The sequence below is a fragment of the Homo sapiens genome, chromosome 10 (genome assembly GCF_000001405.40).
Source record: "Homo sapiens chromosome 10, GRCh38.p14 Primary Assembly".
NCBI classification, from domain to species: Eukaryota; Metazoa; Chordata; class Mammalia; order Primates; family Hominidae; genus Homo; species Homo sapiens.
In genome coordinates this window covers 25,513,797-25,536,826 of record NC_000010.11, presented here as the reverse complement: position 1 = coordinate 25,536,826, position 23,030 = coordinate 25,513,797, and the positions used below count along the sequence as shown (strand labels likewise).

Sequence of the window (23,030 nt, the reverse complement as noted above, 5' to 3'; positions counted from 1 at the left end):
CCACAGTTAGAGTAGCATGGGTTGGCTGAACTGGGCAAAACCCAGAAAGTGAAGCCTGCCAGCCCAAGATAACTGAATCTTTCAGTTTAATCTGTGCATATAATGGAAAGATAAAGTTAAATCTTTTGAATCATCTCCTAAAATATGACTAAAAAAAAGATGCAGTTTATCAGCTAAGATATTTGGCAGAGAGGTTAAAAATATATTTCTCAAGAAATGGACAAATGCAGAAACAAATGAACTCTGAATATGATCAATGATTTACTGATTCAGGAATTTTCTTTTATAAAGGACAAAAACAGTACAAGAGTTGGTAAATGGGATGTTAACGAAGGCCATTAGAAACTGGAGACTTTACACTTCTTCATTCAGAATACAAAATACTTGTAGCACACATCTCAGAAAGATTTGTTTTCATTACTGGCCAAATAATATGCCTGGTTTAGAGCAAAATAAAATACACACACTTGGAAATACTTAATTAGCTTCAGTAAAACCACTATATGTAAAGGAGGCTGGAGATTTAATATAACAAATAATGTAAAATATATTTGCATTATTTTACAAATGAATTTTCTTTAATAAAGAAATTAATATCTTTAATATTAAAGAATTAAATATTCTTCAATAAAAATTGAAGACTTTTATTTGTAAAATAATACAAATATATGAGCTACCTACTAGTCAGGTGGAAAGGAGCTGCAGCCTAATGCAGTGGGTAAAACAAGGAATTTGGTGTTAATTGCCCTAAATGCCAGGCTAGGCTTTACCACCAATGAGAAATATAACCTGGGACAAATTCCTTAATTTCTCTGGGCCTCACTTTCCTCAACAGTTTAGTGGGGACACAGTGTGGATGCACTTAAAACAGTACAAAACAATGGAGAAATGCCAGTTTTATTACTAACATATGAGGATTACTTTTGATATTTGTCACATTTGAATCAACAATCTATTTAGTCTTATTCTAAATGTATCTTCAAATAAGGACAGAAAAGAAGCTTCTGAATAGTGTGGAGTTGAGAATGGGGTATAGAGAGAAGAGGAAAGAAGCAGACTAGGCAAACTGAGCTTTGTCGAAGCAGAGTCAGAACTATTAATATGATGGATAAAACCAGGACAATCAAGGTGCATTCATTATCTACTTGTATATAACAAATACCACAAACTTAGTGGCTGGCTTAAAACAATACTCATTTCTTATCTCACAGTTTCAGTGGGTCATTCATCCAGGCACTGCCAGCCTTAGGGTTACTCACACATCTGTAATCAAGCCATTACTCAGGTCTGGGGTTCCATCTGAAGGCTAAACTGGAGAAGGATACACTTCCAAGCCCATGCTGCTGTTGTCAGCATTTGCCTCCCTGAGGGCTAGAGGAACTGAGGCCCTTTGTCCTTGCTGGCTGTGGGTTGGAGGCCATTCTCAGTTCCTTGCCATGTGGGCCACTCCAATATGGCGCATGCTTCATCAAAGCCAGCAAGAGAGAGTCTTCTAGCAAGATGAAAGTTGTAATTTTTTTAACCTCATTGTGGAAGTCACATTCTTTCAATGTTAATCTGTTTGATTGATTAGAAACTAATTAGTCAAGGGGTGAGAATTACATAGGCCATGATTACCAGGAGGTAGGGAACATTGGAGCTATTAGTTATTTACCACAAAAAGAGACTACTTTTATATCATCAGAAATGCTGTTATCTACCTGGGTTCAAAGCAAATGATGTAAGAGGAATATAGACTACAAAGCTATGAGATCCCCAGAGTATGCATTTAGAGAAAGAATAATGTGAAAAACTACTTTAAAGGAGAAATTTTTGAAAGCAAGAAAAGAAATCCAGTAAGGCTGCCTTCTCCAACAGAGTCTAACCCATCTTCAGGATCATGATTCTTGACTAAGAACTGCTGAGAAATGACTACACATAGCTCATGACTAAGAACTGCTGAGAAGTGACTTTTTTATTGTAATGTTTTAAACAGTAAGAAAAATGGTATGGTCATGTTGAGGTGGGAGATGTAATTCGGATCCCTGTCTGTCTGTCTATCTGTCTATCTAACTTTTTGAGATGGAGTCTTGCTCTGTCACTTCTTGCTCTGTCACGCAGGCTGAAGTGCAGTGGCACAATGTTGGCTCGCTGCAACCTCCACCTCTTGGGTTCAAGCGATTCTCCTGTGTTAGCTTCCCAAATAGTTGAGATTACAGATACGTGCCACCACACCCAGCTAATTTTTTTTTTTTTTTTTTGCATTTTTAGTAGAGACGGGGTTGTACCATGTTAGCCAGGATGGTCTCAAACTCCTGATCTCAAGTAATCTGTTTTTGTTTTGTTTTGTTTTGTTTTGTTTTTTGCATTTTTAGTACAGACGGGGTTTTATCACGTTAGCCAGGGTGGTCTCGAACTGACCTCAAGTAATCTGCCTGCCTCAGCCTCCCAAAGTGCTGGGATTACAGGCATGAGATACCGCGCCTGGCCTAATTCAGATCTTTAAAAGTACATATGTCTATGTTTAAATTGTAACTAAGGAAGAATGAAGATGTCAGGTAAAACCTGGCAGATTGAACATGTTTATGTCTGCTACTTTTGGAAACCCTAAATGACTGTAAAAACACTCAAGGCCAAAAAAGAATCTCAGTAAGAATGACAACAGATGATAGATATCAACATAATTATAGAGAAGAAAAGCATGTGCCAAAGCATAACCAGATGAAGATGTCAAAGAAAGCTGAAAGCTGGCCCAGGAGAGAAGGAAGCAACTCAGAGTCTATCTCATTATCTTTTTGGTGAGGGGTAATAACAACATCTAATGAATTCATGTTATATTCCAGTTACTTTTTAAGTGCCCTACATAAAATAACTTGTTTATTTCTTACAACAATACTGTGATGTAGGCATTATTATTACTCCCACTTTACATATGGGGAAGCTGAGGCAAAGTTAAGGAATTTGCCCCAGGTCACATAGCTGGTAAGTGGCAGAGCTGGGTTTAAACTCAGCTGGGGTCTGGAGTCTGAGCTCATTATTGCTATGCAATACACCTTACCTTTACAAAGGAAGGACAGAGTAGAAAGATTAAAATTAGTGATCTTTGATGGAGGCTGGATGTTTTAGAATGCCTGGTGCTATAAAATGTTGACCAATTTGTTCAATGAAGTGAACAAGGCAGGGTTGAACTGAACACTGCCGACAAGGTAAAAATAACTTCCAAGGAAAATAAATGAAATATATAAAGAATGAAGTTAACAAATGGTAAAATGAATGTTTTAAACCGAATAATTCATGTAGAAAAATTGTGAAAGCAGAGGGACATCACAGAGATTAAACTACTGAGAGAGAAGATACAGCCATAGTCATGAGAAAGAGTGGAAGCCAGGAACCAGTGTATTGGTCTTCCACCCTGATTGAACACCAGAACCAACTATAATGGTTTAAAATATATATAAGTCCAGGTTTTTCTTGTAGAAACTGATTCAGTAAATTGAGGGCAGAGACTGAATGATTTTTTTCTTAAGGTTAACAGGTGGTTTTAATTTGACAAGGACTAAGGGCTGCTAATACTAGTCCACAGCCCAGAAGCAAGCCACGTGTGGAATTGGGATAGCTAAAGCTCAGATTAAGGCTGGGGATGGAAAATGTCTAAGAACTACTACAGTGCAGCGAGAATTCTATTTCTAGAAAACTGCCCTACATAAACATCCATAAGAAATAGCAGAAATATATATGCAAGAATATTCACTAAAGCATTTTTTGCAAGACAAAAAACACTGAAAACATTCTCCACTAGTAGGGGACAGGTTCACTATGGTAATTAAAGTTACAGCCATTCAGTGGAAAACCATGCATTAAGGGAATTAAGCGGATCTGATTCTGTTGCTATGAAAACACCTTTAAGATAAATTGTTAAATAAAAAGAAAGCTGCAGAACAGTAATAGCATATGCTTCTGTTTGTATCTACATCAAAAGGAATATGTAGATGCACATTCAATAGACCATGAAGACTATCTCTGAATAGGTTGGCTGGGAATGAGAACGCAAGGGGCAAAAGGAGATTTTACTCTTTAAGTTATATGCTTTGGTATTTTTTTTTTTTTACAACAAATGTGTCACTTTTGTAATAAAGGAACGAAACAATGCATAAAAGGATTTCTGGTTAGGTCATTGCATAAATGCCTGGCTCTTAAAATGGGGAATGGAGGGTGTTTTCTACACACTGGGGATCAGAGAGCAAAGTGGAGAAAGTATCATATGTAATATCTATATGGTGACTTTATGTGGAGGTGGAAAGATACAGAAAACGACCCAAGGAGAAGCAAGAGAATCTTAAGAACTCCAGACCTCAACAAAGAAACAAAAATGCAGAAGAATTCACAGGAAAAGAGTTGAGGTATGGTATTTTGAGAAGAAACATGAAAAAATGATGATGAGACACAATATAGAATTAAATGATAGAGGCAAAAGCTTTTTTACAGCCAAGAACAGAATACACATAAAAAATGCATCACTCTTAGGCATACCCTGTCCCTGGGAGTGGCCCACCTCTTTAGCTTAGTATGGTGCCTCATCCGTTTAACAGATAGTCTTGCATAGACCATTCTCTGGTGAAAAACAAACAACGAAACCCACCTCTTTCTCTTTAGGGTCCAAAGATTCATGTCAGTAGTCCTCCTTCTCAACTTGGTTAAAGAAAATGTGCAAAACATATAGTACAACAGGTTCCAAAAACCACAAATTACACTAGAAATCTAAAGTCATAATTATGCAAATTGCAGTTACAACCTAGAATCAGAATTGTCCTGATAGTCCTATGTCTCCCTCTGTGAAGAAGTCACCATTTCCGGTATGATCTCCCCATGCTCCAGGCAGAAATAAGCATCTATTTCTAGAGGAGCAGAGTGGTATCATGGAAAGATGATAAGCTCTGGAGGCCCAAGGGACTGCTCTGCCACTTCCTAACGGCATGACCTTGAGCAGCCCACTCTGACCATCTCCTCCCTCATGTGGAAAGCTGAGTAATAATCCTCCCTCCCTCACAAGATAGGAAGAATTATGTGAAAGCACTGACAACTAAAGTGGTATAATTATTTCTCCTATATTTATTCCTTAAAGATTGATGCAAAACCTTTTTTATTCCTGTCTAAAGCGAGCATGAGGTGATCCTACCAGATCCTTATAAATTCCCTCAATGGCAAATTAACATAAATAATACCAAATCCTATGACGAGGGAGCCACTTTGCCAGCCTGTTTCAGTCTGACTCACTGCCTCATCTCTTTCGAGAGGACACTTTCTTATTACTCAGCCCCAAATAAAAAGGGCTGAAAATAAATATCTAGGTGTAACTATAGGTTGCCATAAAACTTTTTCAGATTTGTCAGTAAACAGTAACAAATGGATGTTCTCCACATATTTTTAGTCTTCCTCCTATTCACTTTTCTAGAAGGCTCTGCTTAACACATGGTCATTATCAATAATCAAAACCAGCATGGACGCGGGGTTTTTACTTTTTGTTACCTACTTGATGTTTCTCTTTTCCTGACTTGAGATACTTAGGACGATAAGTAACTTGCCCAGGACAACATAACTGAATGTGTCAAAGGTGGAATTACCCTAAATTGTCAACATTTTCAATCTCCACACAAGGTGCCGTTCTCTATAAAAAATTTGTTTTCATATAAAAATATATGTTATCTTAAAGGTTCCAAAAAAAGAATTGTTCAAGAATATTTTTCTTACTAATCATTGGAATGTCTAAAATACCTACCATTAGCATTATTTTTTAATCTTCAAAAGATCCCTAGACATGTATCTGAAAGGATTAGAGTGATGACTCTGAAAGCCACTTAGGACAGAATAAGCTCCTGAAGGAAGAGGCACAGAATGGGTAAGTTTTGATGCAAAGTAGAAGGGAAGAAAATATTCAGGACATGGTCTACTGCTCGGATGGAGAGATCCCAGTGAGGCCATCTCCAGCAGACCAGAGAGCTGACACAAGGCTGGAAAAGGGCTTAGTACTGATGAAGAAAGAATTGTTCAAGGAGAGGCAGAGAGTGACTGAGAAGGAGTTAAACGATCCTTGACCTGTTTCCTGTCACTTCCTCTAAAGATGTCTTATTGCATCAAAATTGGTTAAGTGTTATCACATCAAGATTGCTTAATGTAAGCAAGACCTGAAGCAGAATTTGTCTCTGCATACGTGCTTATTTTTCTGGATAATGGATCAGCTTTGTTTGTTTTACATGTCTTTAAACTCTCCTGCCTGTTGCGGACTCACTAGCAACAGAGCACTCCTGCTGCAGCACACCTTCTGCGGGGAGGTGGGGCAAGGACGCTTAGCTGCAGATACTTCAAAAGGCTGTCAGATGGGCCTCCTGCCTTTCCAGTGTCCAGTCAGGTGTGAGGTCCTGTGGATTCTACATCCGTAATAATATTTTATCGCTACAGGTCATTTTGAGCTGCTCTTACACTTCACAGAAACAGAATCAAAGAGTGTGTGTTCCTTTGTGAGACTGAGTGACTACCGCCTTCTTGGTGCCGTAACCAGATTCACGCTGGCATTAAAATATGCCCACATATTGGGAAAGCCCTTGGAGTTCTGTGTTTGTTTTTTTAATAACACTTTTCACTTTTCTCATGTATTATCTTATTGAAGAAGCCACACAGTTACTGTTCCACTTCAGCTCATGAGGAGACCATCTCAGAAGTATAAGGACGACAAAGATCTTCAGCTGCCACCCATCTCCCGCCTCCCCACCTACAACCTATAAGAAGCAGAAGGGCTGAGGAGGCAAAAGGGGGAGAGGATGAGTCTAGACATTTTCAGTGGTGACAAACTAAAGCAGTAAGATACGAAAGGCCAGTAGGTTTTAATTTTCCTAATCAAACGGATGGAAAAGTGAGACAAAAATATATGAAAACAATTGTTGGTTGCTTGGCAGTTGTTAGGGGAGCAAGAGAAAAATATGGGCAGAACGGGGCAGGTCTAGGCACTGGAACCAAGGCCTGCTACTCAAAACAGAGGGAAACTTGAAAGTGAAAGATCAGGCCATGGTCCCAGTGGCCAGGAATGAAAAAGGCTGTCGTGAGAGTGACTTTTCTCAGGCCAAGGCATAGTATTCCTGTTTCCTTTAACCCCATCTCAATCTTCACATCTAAGTGATTTGGGTGTTCATGTGTCTCACCACAATTTCTTGGCATTGTTTTTTATTAGTAACCTTTATATTGCGCTTTTATCTTGTACTTGTATCTGAGAGTAAAATAATGAAGCACAAGTAAAGGCAATATCTGAGTAACGGGGGCAACCTCCAATCCAACTTGCCACTCCCCGATCCCTGCAATGAGAGGCTTCCAAAAGATGCTTTTTGATAAGAAGTCTTTCTATGAATTCCAAATTATTCACTTTATCTTTTATGTCCATTGATTTGTATATACTCTCAAATTGATTTTTTTTTTGAGGAGTCTCGCTCTGTCACCGAGGCTGGAGTGCAATGGTGCAATCTCGGCTTACTGCTACCTCCGCCTCCCGAGTTCAAGTGATTCTCCTGCCTCAGCCTCCTGAGTAGCTGGGATTACAGGTGCCCGCCACCACGCCCGGCTAATTTTTTGTATTTTTAGTACAGACAGGGTTTCACCGTGTTAGCAGGACGGTCTGGATCTCCTGACCTCGTGATCCGCCTGCCTCAGCCTCCTAAAGTGCTGGGATTACACGCGTGAGCCACCATGCCTGGCCGTATGCTCTCAAATTGTTGCCTAACCTGGTTGTTACTTCCTCCCATATATTTATCCAGTTGTTTCAGCACCGTTCGTTGAAAAGACTTTACTTTCCCTGTTGAATTACCTTGAAACTTCCATAACAAGTCAATTGACAGTATATGTGTAGATATATTTCTGGTTGCTTTATTTTGTCCCATTGATCTATTTCTCTCTCCTTAGGCCAATTAACACTGTATTAAGTCCTGTAACTTTAGAGTAATTTTTGAAATTCCATAGTATAAATCCTCTAGCTTTGTTCTTTTAAAACACTGACTTAGCTAGTTTGCATCATTTATTTTCTATATAAATTTTAGACTAAACTTGTAAATTACTAAAAGAAAAGCCCGCTGGGGTTTTGATTACAATTACAATGATTCTACAGAACAATTTGAAGAGAACTGACACCACTTAATTCATGAACATCATGTGTTTCTCTATTTAGGTTTCCTTTATATTCTCTTAACACTATATTCTAGTTGTCAGTGTAGATTTCTTGCACATTTTTTAATAAATCTACTTGTATGTATTTAGTGCTTTTAGGTACTATTGTAAATGTAATTTTAAAATATTCATTCTCCAGTTGTTTGCTACTGTATATAGGAATATCCTAGAACCCTGACAAATTCACTTATTAATTCTAACACTGAAGATTTCTTCAGGTTTTTTAATGTACCCAATTATGTTGTATGTATATTTTAAAAATATTTTAGTGCTTCCCATCTAATGCTTGGATCTCTCTCTATATATCTATATATATATAGATCCAATTTTCTAATACTTTGTTAAGGAATTTTGATAATTTTAATTCTATGTTCATAAGGGGTATTGTTTGTCATGTTCTTTTCTAATTATATCTTGGTCAGGTTTTAGGGTCAGTATGGTAGTATGAGCTGATATCAGGATATTGGAACAATATGAATTGGGGCGTATTTCCTTTTCCTCTATTTTCTGAAAGAGTTAAGATTGACACTATTCCATTCTTAAATGTGTAATAGAAATAGCTAAAGATATCTTTGTCTATAGCTTTATTTCTGAGAAGTCTTTTCATTATAAATTTATTTATATGAAAATGTGTATTCAAATTTCCTATCTCTTCTGTCAATTTTAGTAAGTTGTATTTTTCAAAAAGATTGTCCATTTCATCCAAGTTGTGGACTTTGTTGGCATCAAGTTTTATTGTAATACCAGCTTATTATCCTTTTAATCTCTGCAGGATCTCTAGCAATATTTTCTTTTTCATTCCTGATACTGGTAATTTGTGTATTCCATTTTTTTCTTGATCAGTCTTGCCAGAGGTTTATCAACTTTATAACTTAAAAAATAACAGCTTTTGGGTTTCTCTATTATATGTCTGATTTCAAGTAGATTCTTACTTTATTTTTTCCCTTATTCTACTTGTTTGGGGTTTGATTTGTTCTTTCTCTAGATGCATAGGGTAGAATCATAGTTCATATTTTTTCTAATGTTAGCATTTAATTCTGTAAAGTTCCCTATAAACACTGCTTTGGCTGCATCCTACTAATTTTGATATCTCACATTTTCACTATCATTCCATTTGAAATATTTCTAATTTCCATTTTCTTGTTTTACACGCTAATTGTTTAAAAATTGTTTAATTTCCAAATATTTGGGGCTTTTAAGTTAACATATCATTGATTACTAATTTAATTCAAATTGAAGTCATAGGATATTCTTTTTTTATCTCCATTTTAAAAAGTTTATAGGGATTCATTTTATGGTATACCATATGGTTATCTTGGTGAACATTTCATACGTACTTTAAAAAAATGTGTAGTTTTGTGTATATCAATTAGTTCATCTTTTTAAGTCTATACCACTTGTACAGTTTTGTTATTTATCATCATTATTTTGCACAAAGGTGTAAAAATCTCTGACTTGACTGTGAATTCATCTATCCTTTTAGCTCTGTCTTATCTTTTCCTTTATGCATTTTGAAGCTCTATTATTATGTGCATATATGTTTAGAATTGTCATGGCTTCCTGATGAATTGAGTTTTATCATCATGATAACATGTCCCTCTTTTTTTCTGTGAATATCTCCTTTCTTGAAGTCTATTTTGTCTGATATTAATATAACCATTCCAATTTTCTTATGACTGTATCTTTTGCAATCATGTTACTTTTATCTTATCTATACATTGTACAGCATATAGCTGGGGCTTGCTTTTTTGCCAGTCTGGTAATCTTTGCCCAATTGCTTCCCAGCCTGTGAGTGGGCTTCCAAAGCCCTGAGTCTCTCTGCAAGCCAGTCCATCAATCTTACTTCACTGGGGTTGTTTCTTGATTGTCTGGCATCTGTGGACCAGCTCTGCCTATGTAACTCAGCAAATTCCTCTGCCATCCAGTGGGCTGCAAACATACCTTCTGCAACAAGGTCTGAACCCCAGCTTTACAGAGGAAGCCTCTTTCCAAGTTTATCCTTTCTTGAGCATGCTCCTTCAGCCTTATATTATTGAGTTCTCTTTATATCTTTACAGTTATTGCCCTATCATAGTTTAACAACTCCTTACATAAACCCACTATCCAAATTACTGTACAGTTTCTGTCTCTTGATTGGATCCAGATGAGTACATCCGCCTCCTGTGGCCCCCTCCTTTTCATAATTTACCCCCTCAATTTCCAGCTTCTCTAGCAGGATCAAACTCTATCCTCTGACATCTTAAGACAAACAGATTGCAGCTTTTTGCTTAAGTGCTAGTCTTCACACACTACATAAACTGGGAGCGCCCTCTGCAAAAGAGTAGGTAATGTAGCCCCCTACCTAGTGCAGTTCCTTTATTAAAGGATTAAATCCCTTCTAGTTTCTGCCTGCTTTTGATAGTTTTTCAGTTTTTTCAAATAATTGTGTTTTTATATATTTTCCAGAGTTGTATCTGCTGGAAGGTCAATTCAACATAACTGCTCAGTTATTAGAACCAGAATTGCTATGACTTTTTTTTTTTTTTTTTTTTTTTTTTTTAGACAAAATTGGACTGTCGCCCAGGCTGGAGTGCAGTGGCAACGATCTTGGCTCACTACAACCTCTGCCTCCCAGGTTCAAGCAACTCTCCTGCCTCAGCCTCCCAAGTAGCTAGGTTTACAAGCACATGCCACCACATCTGGCTAATTTTTGTATTTTAGTAGAGATGGGGTTTCATCATGTTGGCCAGGCTGGTCTCGAACTCCTGACCTCAGGTGATCCACCCACTTCAGCCTCCCAAAGTGCTGGGATTACAGAAGAGAGCCACCGTGCCTGGCCCTACTATGACTTTTATAAATAGCTTTATTGCAGTGTAATTCATATATCATTCATTCATTTGAAGTATAGTCACAGAGTTGTACAATTACCACAATCAATTTTTGAACATTTCCCCACCTCAAAAATGAACCCCATAATGATTAGCAGTCATTCCCCCATTCTTCCCCTGCCACAGGCAGCCACTGACTAGTCTACTTTCTGTCTTTATAAATGTGCTAATTCTGGACAATTCAAGTAATGGAATCATGCAATCCATGGTCTTTTTTGATTGCTTTTTTTGATTTAGCACAATGTTTTCAAAGTTCATCCATACAATGTAGAGTACCATACAATGTATGCTACTGATATACTGTAGCATGTATCACTACTTCTTTCCTTTTTATTAATAATATTCCACTGTATAGATATAATACATTGTGTTTATCCATTCATCAGTTAATGAACATGCGAATTGCTTCCACTTTTGAGCTATTATGAATTATGTAGCTACGAAGATTCATGTGTAAGTGTTTTTGTGGACATATGCTTTCATTTCCCTTGGTTATATACTTAGGAATGGCATTGCTGAGTCATATGGTAACTCTGCTTAACATTTTGAGAAAATTTTCAACTGTTTTAGAGAGTGACTGCACCATTTTACATTCCTACCAGCAATGGATGATGTTTCCAATTTCTCTACCTCCTCGCCAACACTCATTGCCTATCTTTTTTATCTATCTTTTTTATTACAGCCATCCTTGTGGGTGTGAAGTGTTATCACATTGTGGTTTTGATTTGCATTTCCCTAATGAGAAATGATGCTGATCATCTTTTCATATGCTTATTGGCTATCTGTATATATTCTCCAGAGAACTGTCTATTCAGATCCTTTGTCTATTTAGTTGGGTGAATTGTCTTTTTATTATTGAGTTGTAATATTCTGGATATAAGTCCCTTATCAGACATATGACATACAAATATTGTCTCTTATTCTGTGTGCTTTCTTTTAACTTTCTTGGTAGTATAACTTGCAACATAGTTTTTGACTTTGATAAAGATCAACTATGTATTTCATCTTTTGTCACTTGTGATTTTGGTGTCATATCTAAGAAACCATTGCTTACCCCAAGGTCATAAAAATTTATATCTATGTTTCCTTCTAAAAGTTCTACAGTTTTGGCTCTTCCATTTAGGACTCTGAGCTGTTTTGAGTTAAATTTTATATGTGGTATGAACTAGGGATCCAACTCATTATTCTGCTTATGGATATCCAGTTCTTCTAGCATCATTTATTCAAAAGACTATTCTTTCCCCATTGAACATTCTTCACATGCTTATCAATTGACCACAAATGGAAAGATGTATTTTGGAACTCTCTAAATTTTATTCCATTGATCTTCATGTCTGTCTTATCTCAGTACCACATTATCTTGATCAGCACAGCTTTGTAGTAAGTTTGGTGGAAGTAAGGGAGTATGAGTCTTCCAATTTTGTTCTGCTTTTTGAAATTATTTTAGATATTCTGGGCCCCTTGCGTGTCCATATACATTTTAGAACGAGCTTGGAAATTTTAACAAAAAGATAGCTGGGTTTTCATAGGCTTGCACTGGATCTGTGGATCAATCTGGGGAGTACTGCTAACCTATTCAGTTTTCTAATCCATGAGTTCCATTTATGTAGTTCTTGAACGCCTTTTAATGATGTTTTGTAGTTTTCATTGTATAGTCTTGCACTTCTTTTATTAGATTTGTAAATATTTTATTCTTTTTCTAATGGAATTGTTTCATTAATTTCATTTTAGGATTGTTCATTGCTGGTATAAGAAAATTAAATTGCTTTTATATTCTGATCTCGTATTCTGCAACTTTGCTGAACTTATTAGTTCTAAAGATCTTTTTTTTGTGCATTCCTTAGAGTTTTCTCTCTATAAGATCGTTTCATCTGCAAATAGAGACAGTTTTACTTCTTCCTTTCTAAAGTAAAAGCCTTTTTTTTCTTCTTCTTCATTTTCTTGCCTAATTGCTGTGGCTAGAATCTCCAGCACAATGTTGAATAGAAGTTGTAACAGTATAAATCATTGTGTGATTCCTGATCTTAGAGGAGTATTCTACAGATGTCTGCTAGGTCTAGTTGGTTTATACTGTTTCCTTGTTGATCTTCTGTTTAGGTGTTCTATTCATTACAAAAAGTAGGGTACCGAAGTCTCCAAATATTTTGATTAAATTGTCTATTTCTCAGCTACACAGCTTTCTGTAGCAGAAAAACATTAGAATTCGAGGAGTCCAGCTACTGACCAAAACCTATGTCTGATTTTTCAGGCCCAACCACAGGCAATTATAAAAACTTTACCTGGCAAACCTTTTACGGGAACTCTGTCCTCCCCACCTGGTGCACAGTCTTGATGTACTGCAGTTGCTAGAGGGGGCTGCAGTCAAGGACTCAGGCTCCCTGGCTAGCCATGCTCTTACTCATGTCGCATTCCTAGCAGAGCTGTCTCCATCCAAGCCATCCAAGAGTTCTTCCACACAGAGGACCTTAAAGATGTTTTCTTCACTCTGACTCAGTACTCTTCCATTTCTAGCCCTTCTCCCAACCCCTGGATCCACAGGACTTCAGGAGCCTTTTGTTCAGGGCTCCCACTGCAGTGAGACATTCCCCATGCCTGTGTTGACCCATCTGACCCTTGTGCATGGTGCCATCCCATGGGGAAAAATGGAACAGCAGGGAAGACAGCACTTTCTTCAGTTCAGCCTCTTGCTTATACTAAGTGATGAAGGGCTTGACTGTTTCTTCCATTTCGGCTTGTTGCCTTAACCAGTTACTCTGACATCTAGCAGCTCAGCTTCTCCAGTTCAGCTCAGCTCTTGAAAGTACTTTTAAATACAATTTTACTTTTTTTAAGTTTAAAAAAAATAGAAATTGAGATTAATATAACCTTGACATCTGCACACCACACAAATTAATACGTGTATAAATTTTGTTACAATCACTATGGGTCTTTAAAAAACTGAAAACTTTACCCATATTAAGGAGAAGCTTCCTAATTCCCCTTCACAGTCCCATGTCTTCTACTTTCTCTAGAGGCAAGCACTAAAAAGTCTGACATAAAGCCATCCAGTACATGTTTTCTATGTTTGTTCCATTTATATGTATCCATAAATAATATATAAGCGTATTTTGTGAGTTTTCAAACTTGTATGTAAGTAGTCAATTGTGTTTCAGCCTTCTGCAACTCACAGGTCTGTCTTTATAGTGAATTCAATTACATAAATGCAATTTCCTCCAAGGCAAAGTCAAATCCAGATCCCTTTTCTCATTAGTCATTTCCCCCCAACATCTATATCTCATTACCAAAGCCAAAGAGAATTTGATGGAAGTTGGCATTGCCATCAACAGGGTTACAAGGGAAAAGGAGGCCATGACTCTGCTGGAATATCTCTCTTTATAAAAAAGTAAGCCTACAATTTCCTTGAAAACAGGACTCAGATGGATGTCCAGAGCTTTTTAAAAGCAGGCGATTTATTACATTCCCTGACCATGCCAAGCACTGGGAGGGTAACGGGGTTAACAGGAACTAGCTGAAAACGTGGATCTAAATATTTTGGGGAATTTCTCTAAAACTGCCAAGAAATGACAGAAGTGAGAAGTGCTGTTGAGAATACCTATGTCAATACTCTTAACTTACATAGTAAGAAGCTGAGACCCCAAAAGACTAAGTGACTTGTGCTAGGTCACACAACTGGCTACACCAGAATTATAACTCAGTTCTGATCCCTTGTTCTCTGCTTTTTACCCTAATTACTGGTTATTAAACTGGCCTCTGTGGAGACATCTCAGAGGTTATTTATGACAGTCAAAAGAGAAGATCAAGCAAGTGAGTTTCTGGGCCCTTATCTCCTTTCACCCACAGTGCCTCAACTCTGAAAAATTATCATCTTCTTATTGTCTATGTAGGATTCAATGACTACTCCTTCAATACCTTTTGGCAGCAGTTTTCATATAAACTAATATCTGTAGGATTTTTTTCTGCCATTGCTTTCATACCATCAGCAAGATAACAGTCTACTAAAGTCATTTGATGTGTGCTGCATTAGCATGGCCCATGTGCAAGGATGACACACAAATTCATGAAGCGTTCCATGTTTTACTGACCAGCAGCTCTTTCACCCCAGATCTTCCCTCTGACATAGTCTACCAAATGAGAAGAAACTAGAAAAACAATTCTGGTAATATGACAATACAAGGTTCTTTAATGCCCCCAAAAGATCACACTGGCTCACCAGCAATGGATCCAAACCAAGAAGAAATCTCTAAGTTGCCAGAAAAAGAATTCAGGAGGTCAACTATTAAGCTAATCAAGGAGGCACCAGACAAAGGTGAAGTCAAACTTAAATCAATAATATGATGCAAGTTAGGAAGGAAAAAAATCTTCAGTGAAATAGATAACAATAGAGGAGGGAGGAGCCAAGATGGCCGAATAGGAACAGCTCCGGCCTACAGCTCCCAGCGTGAGCGACGCAGAAGACGGGTGATTTCTGCATTTCCATCTGAGGTACCGGGTTCATCTCACTAGGGAGTGCCAGACAGTGGGCGCAGGCCAGTGGGTGCGTGCACCGTGCGCGAGCCGAAGCAGGGCGAGGCATTGCCTCACCTGGGAAGCGCAAGGGGTCAGGGAGTTTCCTTTCCGAGTCAAAGAAAGGGGTGACGGATGCACCTGGAAAATCGGGTCACTCCCGCCCGAATACTGCGCTTTTCCGACGGGCTTAGGAAATGGCGCACCACGAGACTATATCCCACACCTGGCTCGGAGGGTCCTACGCCCACAGAGTCTCGCTGATTGCTAGCACAGCAGTCTGAGATCAAACTGCAAGGCGCCAGCGAGGCTGGGGGAGGGGCGCCCGCCATTGCCCAGGCTTGCTTAGGTAAACAAAGAAGCCGGGAAGCTCCAACTGGGCGGAGCCCACCACAGCTCAAGGAGGCCTGCCTGCCTCTGTAGGCTCCACCTCTGGGGGCAGGGCACAGACAAACAAAAAGACAGCAGTAACCTCTGCTGTCCCTGTCTGACAGCTTTGAAGAGAGCAGTGGTTCTCCCAGCACGCAGCTGCAGATCTGAGAACGGGCAGACTGCCTCCTCAAGCGGGTCCCTGACCCCTGACCCCCGAGCAGCCTAACTGGGAGGCACCCCCCAGCAGGGGCACACTGACACCTCACACGGCAGGGTATTCCAACAGACCTGCAGCTGAGGGTCCTGTCTGTTAGAAGGAAAACTAACAAACAGAAAGGACATCCACACTGAAAACCCATCTGTACATCACCATCATCAAAGACCAAAAGTAGATAAAACCACAAAGATGGGGAAAAAACAGAACAGAAAAACTGGAAACTCTAAAACGCAGAACGCCTCTCCTCCTCCAAAGGAACGCAGTTCCTCACCAGCAACAGAACAAAGCTGGATGGAGAATGACTTTGACGAGCTGAGAGAAGAAGGCTTCAGATGATCAAATTACTCTGAGCTACGGGAGGACATTCAAACCAAAGGCAAAGAAGTTGAAAACTTTGAAAAAAATTTAGAAGAATGTATAACTAGAATAACCAATACAGAGAAGTGCTTAAAGGAGCTGATGGAGCTGAAAACCAAGGCTCGAGAACTACGTGAAGAATGCAGAAGCCTCAGGAGCCGATGCGATCAACTGGAAGAAAGGGTATCAGCAATGGAAGATGAAATGAATGAAATGAAGCGAGAAGGGAAGTTTAGAGAAAAAAGAATAAAAAGAAATGAGCAAAGCCTCCAAGAAATATGGGACTATGTGAAAAGACCAAATCTACGTCTGATTGGTGTACCTGAAAGTGATGCGGAGAATGGAACCAAGTTGGAAAACACTCTGCAGGATATTATCCAGGAGAACTTCCCCAATCTAGCAAGGCAGGCCAACGTTCAGATTCAGGAAATACAGAGAACGCCACAAAGATACTCCTCGAGAGGAGCAACTCCAAGACACATAATTGTCAGATTCACCAAAGTTGAAATGAAGGAAAAAATGTTAAGGGCAGCCAGAGAGAAAGGTCGGGTTACCCTCAAAGGGAAGCCCATCAGACTAACAGCGGATCTCTCAGCAGAAACCCTACAAGCCAGAAGAGAGTGGGGGCCAATATTCAACATTCTTAAAGAAAAGAATTTTCAACCCAGAATTTCATATCCAGCCAAGCTAAGCTTCGTAAGTGAAGGAGAAATAAAATACTTTACAGACAAGCAAATGCTGAGAGATTTTGTCACCACCAGGCCTGCCCTAAAAGAGCTCCTGAAGGAAGCGCTAAACATGGAAAGGAACAACCGGTACCAGCTGCTGCAAAATCATGCCAAAATGTAAAGACCATCGAGACTAGGAAGAAACTGCATCAACTAACGAGCAAAATCACCAGCTAACATCATAATGACAGGATCAAATTCACACATAACAATATTAACTTTAAATGTAAATGGACTAAATTCTCCAATTAAAAGACACAGACTGGCAAATTGGATAAAGAGTCAAGACCCACCAGTGTGCTGTATTCAGGAAACCCATCTCACGTGCAGAGACACACATAGGCTCAAAATAAAAGGATGGAGGAAGATCTACCAAGCAAATGGAAAACAAAAAAAGGCAGGGGTTGCAATCCTACTCTCTGATAAAACAGACTTTAAACCAACAAAGATCAAAAGAGACAAAGAAGGCCATTACATAATGGTAAAGGGATCAATTCAACAAGAGGAGCTAACTATCCTAAATATTTATGCACCCAATACAGGAGCACCCAGATTCATAAAGCAAGTCCTGAGTGACCTACAAAGAGACTTAGACTCCCACACATTAATAATGGGAGACTTTAACACCCCACTGTCAACATTAGACAGATCAACGAGACAGAAAGTCAACAAGGATACCCAGGAATTGAACTCAGCTCTGCACCAAGCGGACCTAATAGACATCTACAGAACTCTCCACCCCAAATCAACAGAATATACATTTTTTTCAGCACCACACCACACCTATTCCAAAATTGACCACATACTTGGAAGTAAAGCTCTCCTCAGCAAATGTAAAAGAACAGAAATTATAACAAACTATCTCTCAGACCACAGTGCAATCAAACTAGAACTCAGGATTAAGAATCTCACTCAAAGCCACTCAACTACATGGAAACTGAACAACCTGCTCCTGAATGACTACTGGGTACATAACGAAATGAAGGCAGAAATAAAGATGTTCTTTGAAACCAATGAGAACAAAGACACCACATACCAGAATCTCTGGGACGCATTCAAAGCAGTGTGTAGAGGGAAATTTATAGCACTAAATGCCCACAAGAGAAAGCAGGAAAGATCTAAAATTGACACCCGAACAACACAATTAAAAGAACTAGAAAAGCAAGAGCAAACACATTCAAAAGCTAGCAGAAGGCAAGAAATAACTAAAATCAGAGCAGAACTGAAGGAAATAGAGACACAAAAAACCCTTCAAAAAATCAATGAATCCAGGAGCTGGTTTTTTGAAAGGATCAACAAAATTGATAGGCCGCTAGCAAGACTAATAAAGAAAAAAAGAGAGAAGAATCAAATAGACACAATAAAAAATGATAAAGGGGATATCACCACCAATCCCACAGAAATACAAACTACCATCAGAGAATACTACAAACACCTCTACACAAATAAACTAGAATATCTAGAAGAAATGGATACATTCCTCGACACATACACTCTCCCAAGACTAAACCAGGAAGAAGTTGAATCTCTGAATAGACCAATAACAGGAGCTGAAATTGTGGCAATAATCAATAGTTTACCAACCAAAAAGAGTCCAGGACCAGATGGATTCACAGCCGAATTCTACCAGAGGTACAAGGAGGAACTGGTACCATTCCTTCTGAAACTATTCCAATCAATAGAAAAAGAGGGAATCCTCCCTAACTCATTTTATGAGGCCAGCATCATTCTGATACCAAAGCCAGGCAGAGACACAACCAAAAAAGAGAATTTTAGACCAATATCCTTGATGAACATTGATGCAAAAATCCTCAACAAAATACTGGCAAACTGAATCCAGCAGCACATCAAAAAGCTTATCCACCATGATCAAGTGGGCTTCATCCCTGGGATGCAAGGCTGGTTCAATATACGCAAATCAATAAATGTAATCCAGCATATAAACAGAACTAAAGACAAAAACCACATGATTATCTCAATAGATGCAGAAAAGGCCTTTGACAAAATTCAACAACCCTTCATGCTAAAAACTCTCAATAAATTAGGTATTGATGGGACGTATTTCAAAATAATAAGAGCTGTCTATGACAAACCCACAGCCTATATCATACTGAATGGGCAAAAACTGGAAGCATTCCCTTTGAAAACTGGCACAAGACAGGGATGCCCTCTCTCACCACTCCTATTCAACATAGTGTTGGAAGTTCTGGCCAGGGCAATCAGGCAGAAGAAGGAAATAAAGGGTATTCAGTTAGGAAAAGAGGAAGTCAAATTGTCCCTGTTTGCAGACGACATGATTGTTTATCTAGAAAACCCCATTGTCTCAGCCCAAAATCTCCTTAAGCTGATAAGCAACTTCAGCAAAGTCTCAGGATACAAAATCAATGTACAAAAATCACAAGCATTCTTATACACCAACAACAGACAAACAGAGAGCCAAATCATGAGTGAACTCCCATTCACAATTGCTTCAAAGAGAATAAAATACCTAGGAATCCAACTTACAAGGGATGTGAAGGACCTCTTCAAGGAGAACTACAAGCCACTGCTCAATGAAACAAAAGAGGATACAAACAAATGGAAGAGCATTCCATGCTCATGGGTAGGAAGAATCAATATCGTGAAAATGGCCATACTGCCCAAGGTAATTTGCAGATTCAATGCCATCCCCATCAAGCTACCAATGACTTTCTTCACAGAATTGGAAAAAACTACTTTAAAGTTCATATGGAACCAAAAAAGAGCCCACATCGCCAAGTCAATCCTAAGCCAAAAGAACAAAGCTGGAGGCATCACACTACCTGACTTCAAACTATACTACAAGGCTACAGTAACCAAAACAGCATGGTACTGGTACCAAAACAGAGATATAGATCAATGGAACAGAACAGAGCCCTCAGAAATAACGCCGCATACCTACAACTATCTGATCTTTGACAAACCTGAGAAAAACAAGCAATGGGGAAAGGATTCCCTATTTAATAAATGGTGCTGGGAAAACTGGCTAGCCATATGGAGAAAGCTGAAACTGGATCCCTTCCTTACACCTTATACAAAAATCAATTCAAGATGGATTAAAGATTTAAACGTTAGACCTAAAACCATAAAAACCCTAGAAGAAAACCTAGGCATTACCATTCAGGACATAGGCATGGGCAAGGACTTCACGTCCAAAACACCAAAAGCAATGGCAGCAAAAGCCAAAATTGACAAATGGGATCTAATTAAACTAAAGAGCTTCTGCACAGCCAAAGAAACTACCATCAGAGTGAACAGGCAACCTACAACATGGGAGAAAATTTTCGCAACCTACTCATCTGACAAAGGGCTAATATCCAGAATCTACAATGAACTCAAACAAATTTACAAGAAAAAAACAAACAACCCCATCAAAAAGTGGGCAAAGGACATGAGCAGACACTTCTCAAAAGAAGACATTTATGCAGCCAAAAAACACATGAAAAAATGCTCATCATCACTGGCCATCAGAGAAATGCAAATCAAAACCACTATGAGATATCATCTCACACCAGTTAGAATGGTGATCATTAAAAAGTCAGGAAACAACAGGTGCTGGAGAGGATGTGGAGAAATAGGAACACTTTTACACTGTTGGTGGGACTGTAAACTAGTTCAACCATTGTGGAAGTCAGTGTGGTGATTCCTCAGGGATCTAGAACTAGAAATACCATTTAACCCAGCCATCCCATTACTGGGTATATACCCAAATGACTATAAATCATGCTGCTATAAAGACACATGCACACGTATGTTTATTGTGGCATTATTCACAATAGCAAAGACTTGGAACCAACCCAAATGTCCAACAATGATAGACTGGATTAAGAAAATGTGGCACATATACACCATGGAATACTATGCAGCCATAAAAAAGGATGAGTTCATGTCCTTTGTAGGGACATGGATGAAATTGGAAATCATCATTCTCAGTAAACTATCACAAGAACAAAAAACCAAACACCGCATATTCTCACTCATAGGTGGGAATTGAACAATGAGATCACATGGACACAGGAAGGGGAATATCACACTCTGGGGACTGTGGTGGGGTGGGGGGAGGGGGGAGGGATAGCACTGGGAGATATACCTAATGCTAGATGACGAGTTAGTGGGTGCAGCGCACCAGCATGGCACATGTATACATATGTAACTAACCTGCACAATGTGCACATGTACCCTAAAACTTAAAGTATAAAAAAAAAAAGAAATAGATAACATAAATTAAAAACAATCACAATTTCTAAAAATGAAGGACATACTTAGCGAAATGCAAAATGCACTGGAAAGTCTCAGCTATAGAATCAAACAAGTAGAAGAAAGAACTTGAGAGCTCAAAGACAAGGCTTTTGTATTAATCAACAAAGACAAAAAATTTTTTAAAAAATGAACAAAGCCTCCAAGAAGTTTGGGATTATGTTAAATGACCAAAGCTAAGAATAATTGGTGTTCCTAAGGAAGAAAAGTTTGGAAAACATTTGAGGGAATAATTGAGGAAAACTTCCCCAGCCTTGTTAGAGATCTAGACATCCAAATATAAGAAGCTCAAAGAACACCTGGGAAATTTATCACAAAAAGATCATCACCTAGGCACATAGTCATTAGGTTATTTAAAGTCAAGATGAAGGAAAAAATCTTAAGAGCTATGAAGCAAAAGCACCAGGTAACCTATAAAGGAAAATCTATCAAGTTAACAGCAGAATTATCAGCAGAAACCCTACAAGCTAGAAAAGATTGGGGTCCCATTTTTAGCCTCCTTAAACAAAAACAGTTATCAGCCAAGAATTTTGTATCCAGCAAAACAAAGCTTCATAAATGAAGGAAAGAAACAGTGTTTTACAGACAAACAAATGCTAAGAGAATTCACAACCAAGCCAGCACTACAAGAACTGCTAAAAGGAGCTCTAAATCTTGAAATAAATCCTTGAAATACACCAAAATAAAACCTCCTTAAAGCATAAATCTCACAGGGCCTATATAACAATAACACAATGAAAAAGAAGGTATTCGGGCAACAAACAGCATGAGGAATAGAATAGTACTTCACATCTCAATATCTCAATACTAACATTGAATGTAAATGGCATAAATGCTCCACTAAGAAGAATGGCAGAATGGAAAAGAATTCACCAACCAAGTAACTGCTGTCTTCAAGAGACTCACGAGACTCACCTAACATATAAGGACTCACATAAACTTAAGGTAAAGGGCAAGGATAAAAGATACTCCATGCAAAGGGACACCAAAAGTGAGCAGGAGTAACTACTCTTATTTCTGACAAAACAAACTTTAAAACAACAGCAGTTAAAAAAAGACAGAGGGACATTATATAATGATTTAAAAAGTGTCCAACGGGAAAATATCACAATCTTAAATATGTATGCACCTAATGCTGGAGCTCCCAAATTTATAAAACAATACTAGACCTAAGAAATGAGACAGACTGCAACACAATAGTGGGAGACTTGAATACTCCACTGACAGCTCTTAGATCATCGAGATAGTCAACAAAGAAACAATGGATTTAAACGTACCTTAGAACAAATGGACTTAACAGATATGTTTAGAACATTGTACCTGACAACTGCAGAATGTACATTCTATTCATCAGCACATGGAACATTCTCCAAGACAGACCATATGATAGGACACAAGACAAGTCCCAATAAATTTAAAACAATTGATATTATATCAAGTACTCTCTCTGACCACAGTGGAATAATATTGGAAATCAACTCCAAAATGAACCCCCAAAGCCATGCAAATACATAGAAATTAAATAAC

At 38.5% G+C, this 23,030-nt stretch overlaps 1 protein-coding gene across 3 annotated transcripts in view, besides 1 other annotated feature; it reads right to left on the bottom strand.

Annotated features, from left to right (window-relative positions):
• GPR158 (G protein-coupled receptor 158) overlaps positions 1-23,030 on the bottom strand; it is a 427,229-nt gene that overhangs the window by 65,403 nt on the left and 338,796 nt on the right. The gene's annotated exons all lie outside the window — the stretch shown is intronic.
• Positions 6,101-6,301: a silencer, noted in NCBI's record as "peak912 fragment used in MPRA reporter construct". NCBI's record gives its function as "represses an SCP1 promoter by STARR-seq MPRAs in K562 erythroleukemia cells {active_cell/tissue: K562}" and the evidence as "EXISTENCE:reporter gene assay evidence [ECO:0000049][PMID:32103011]".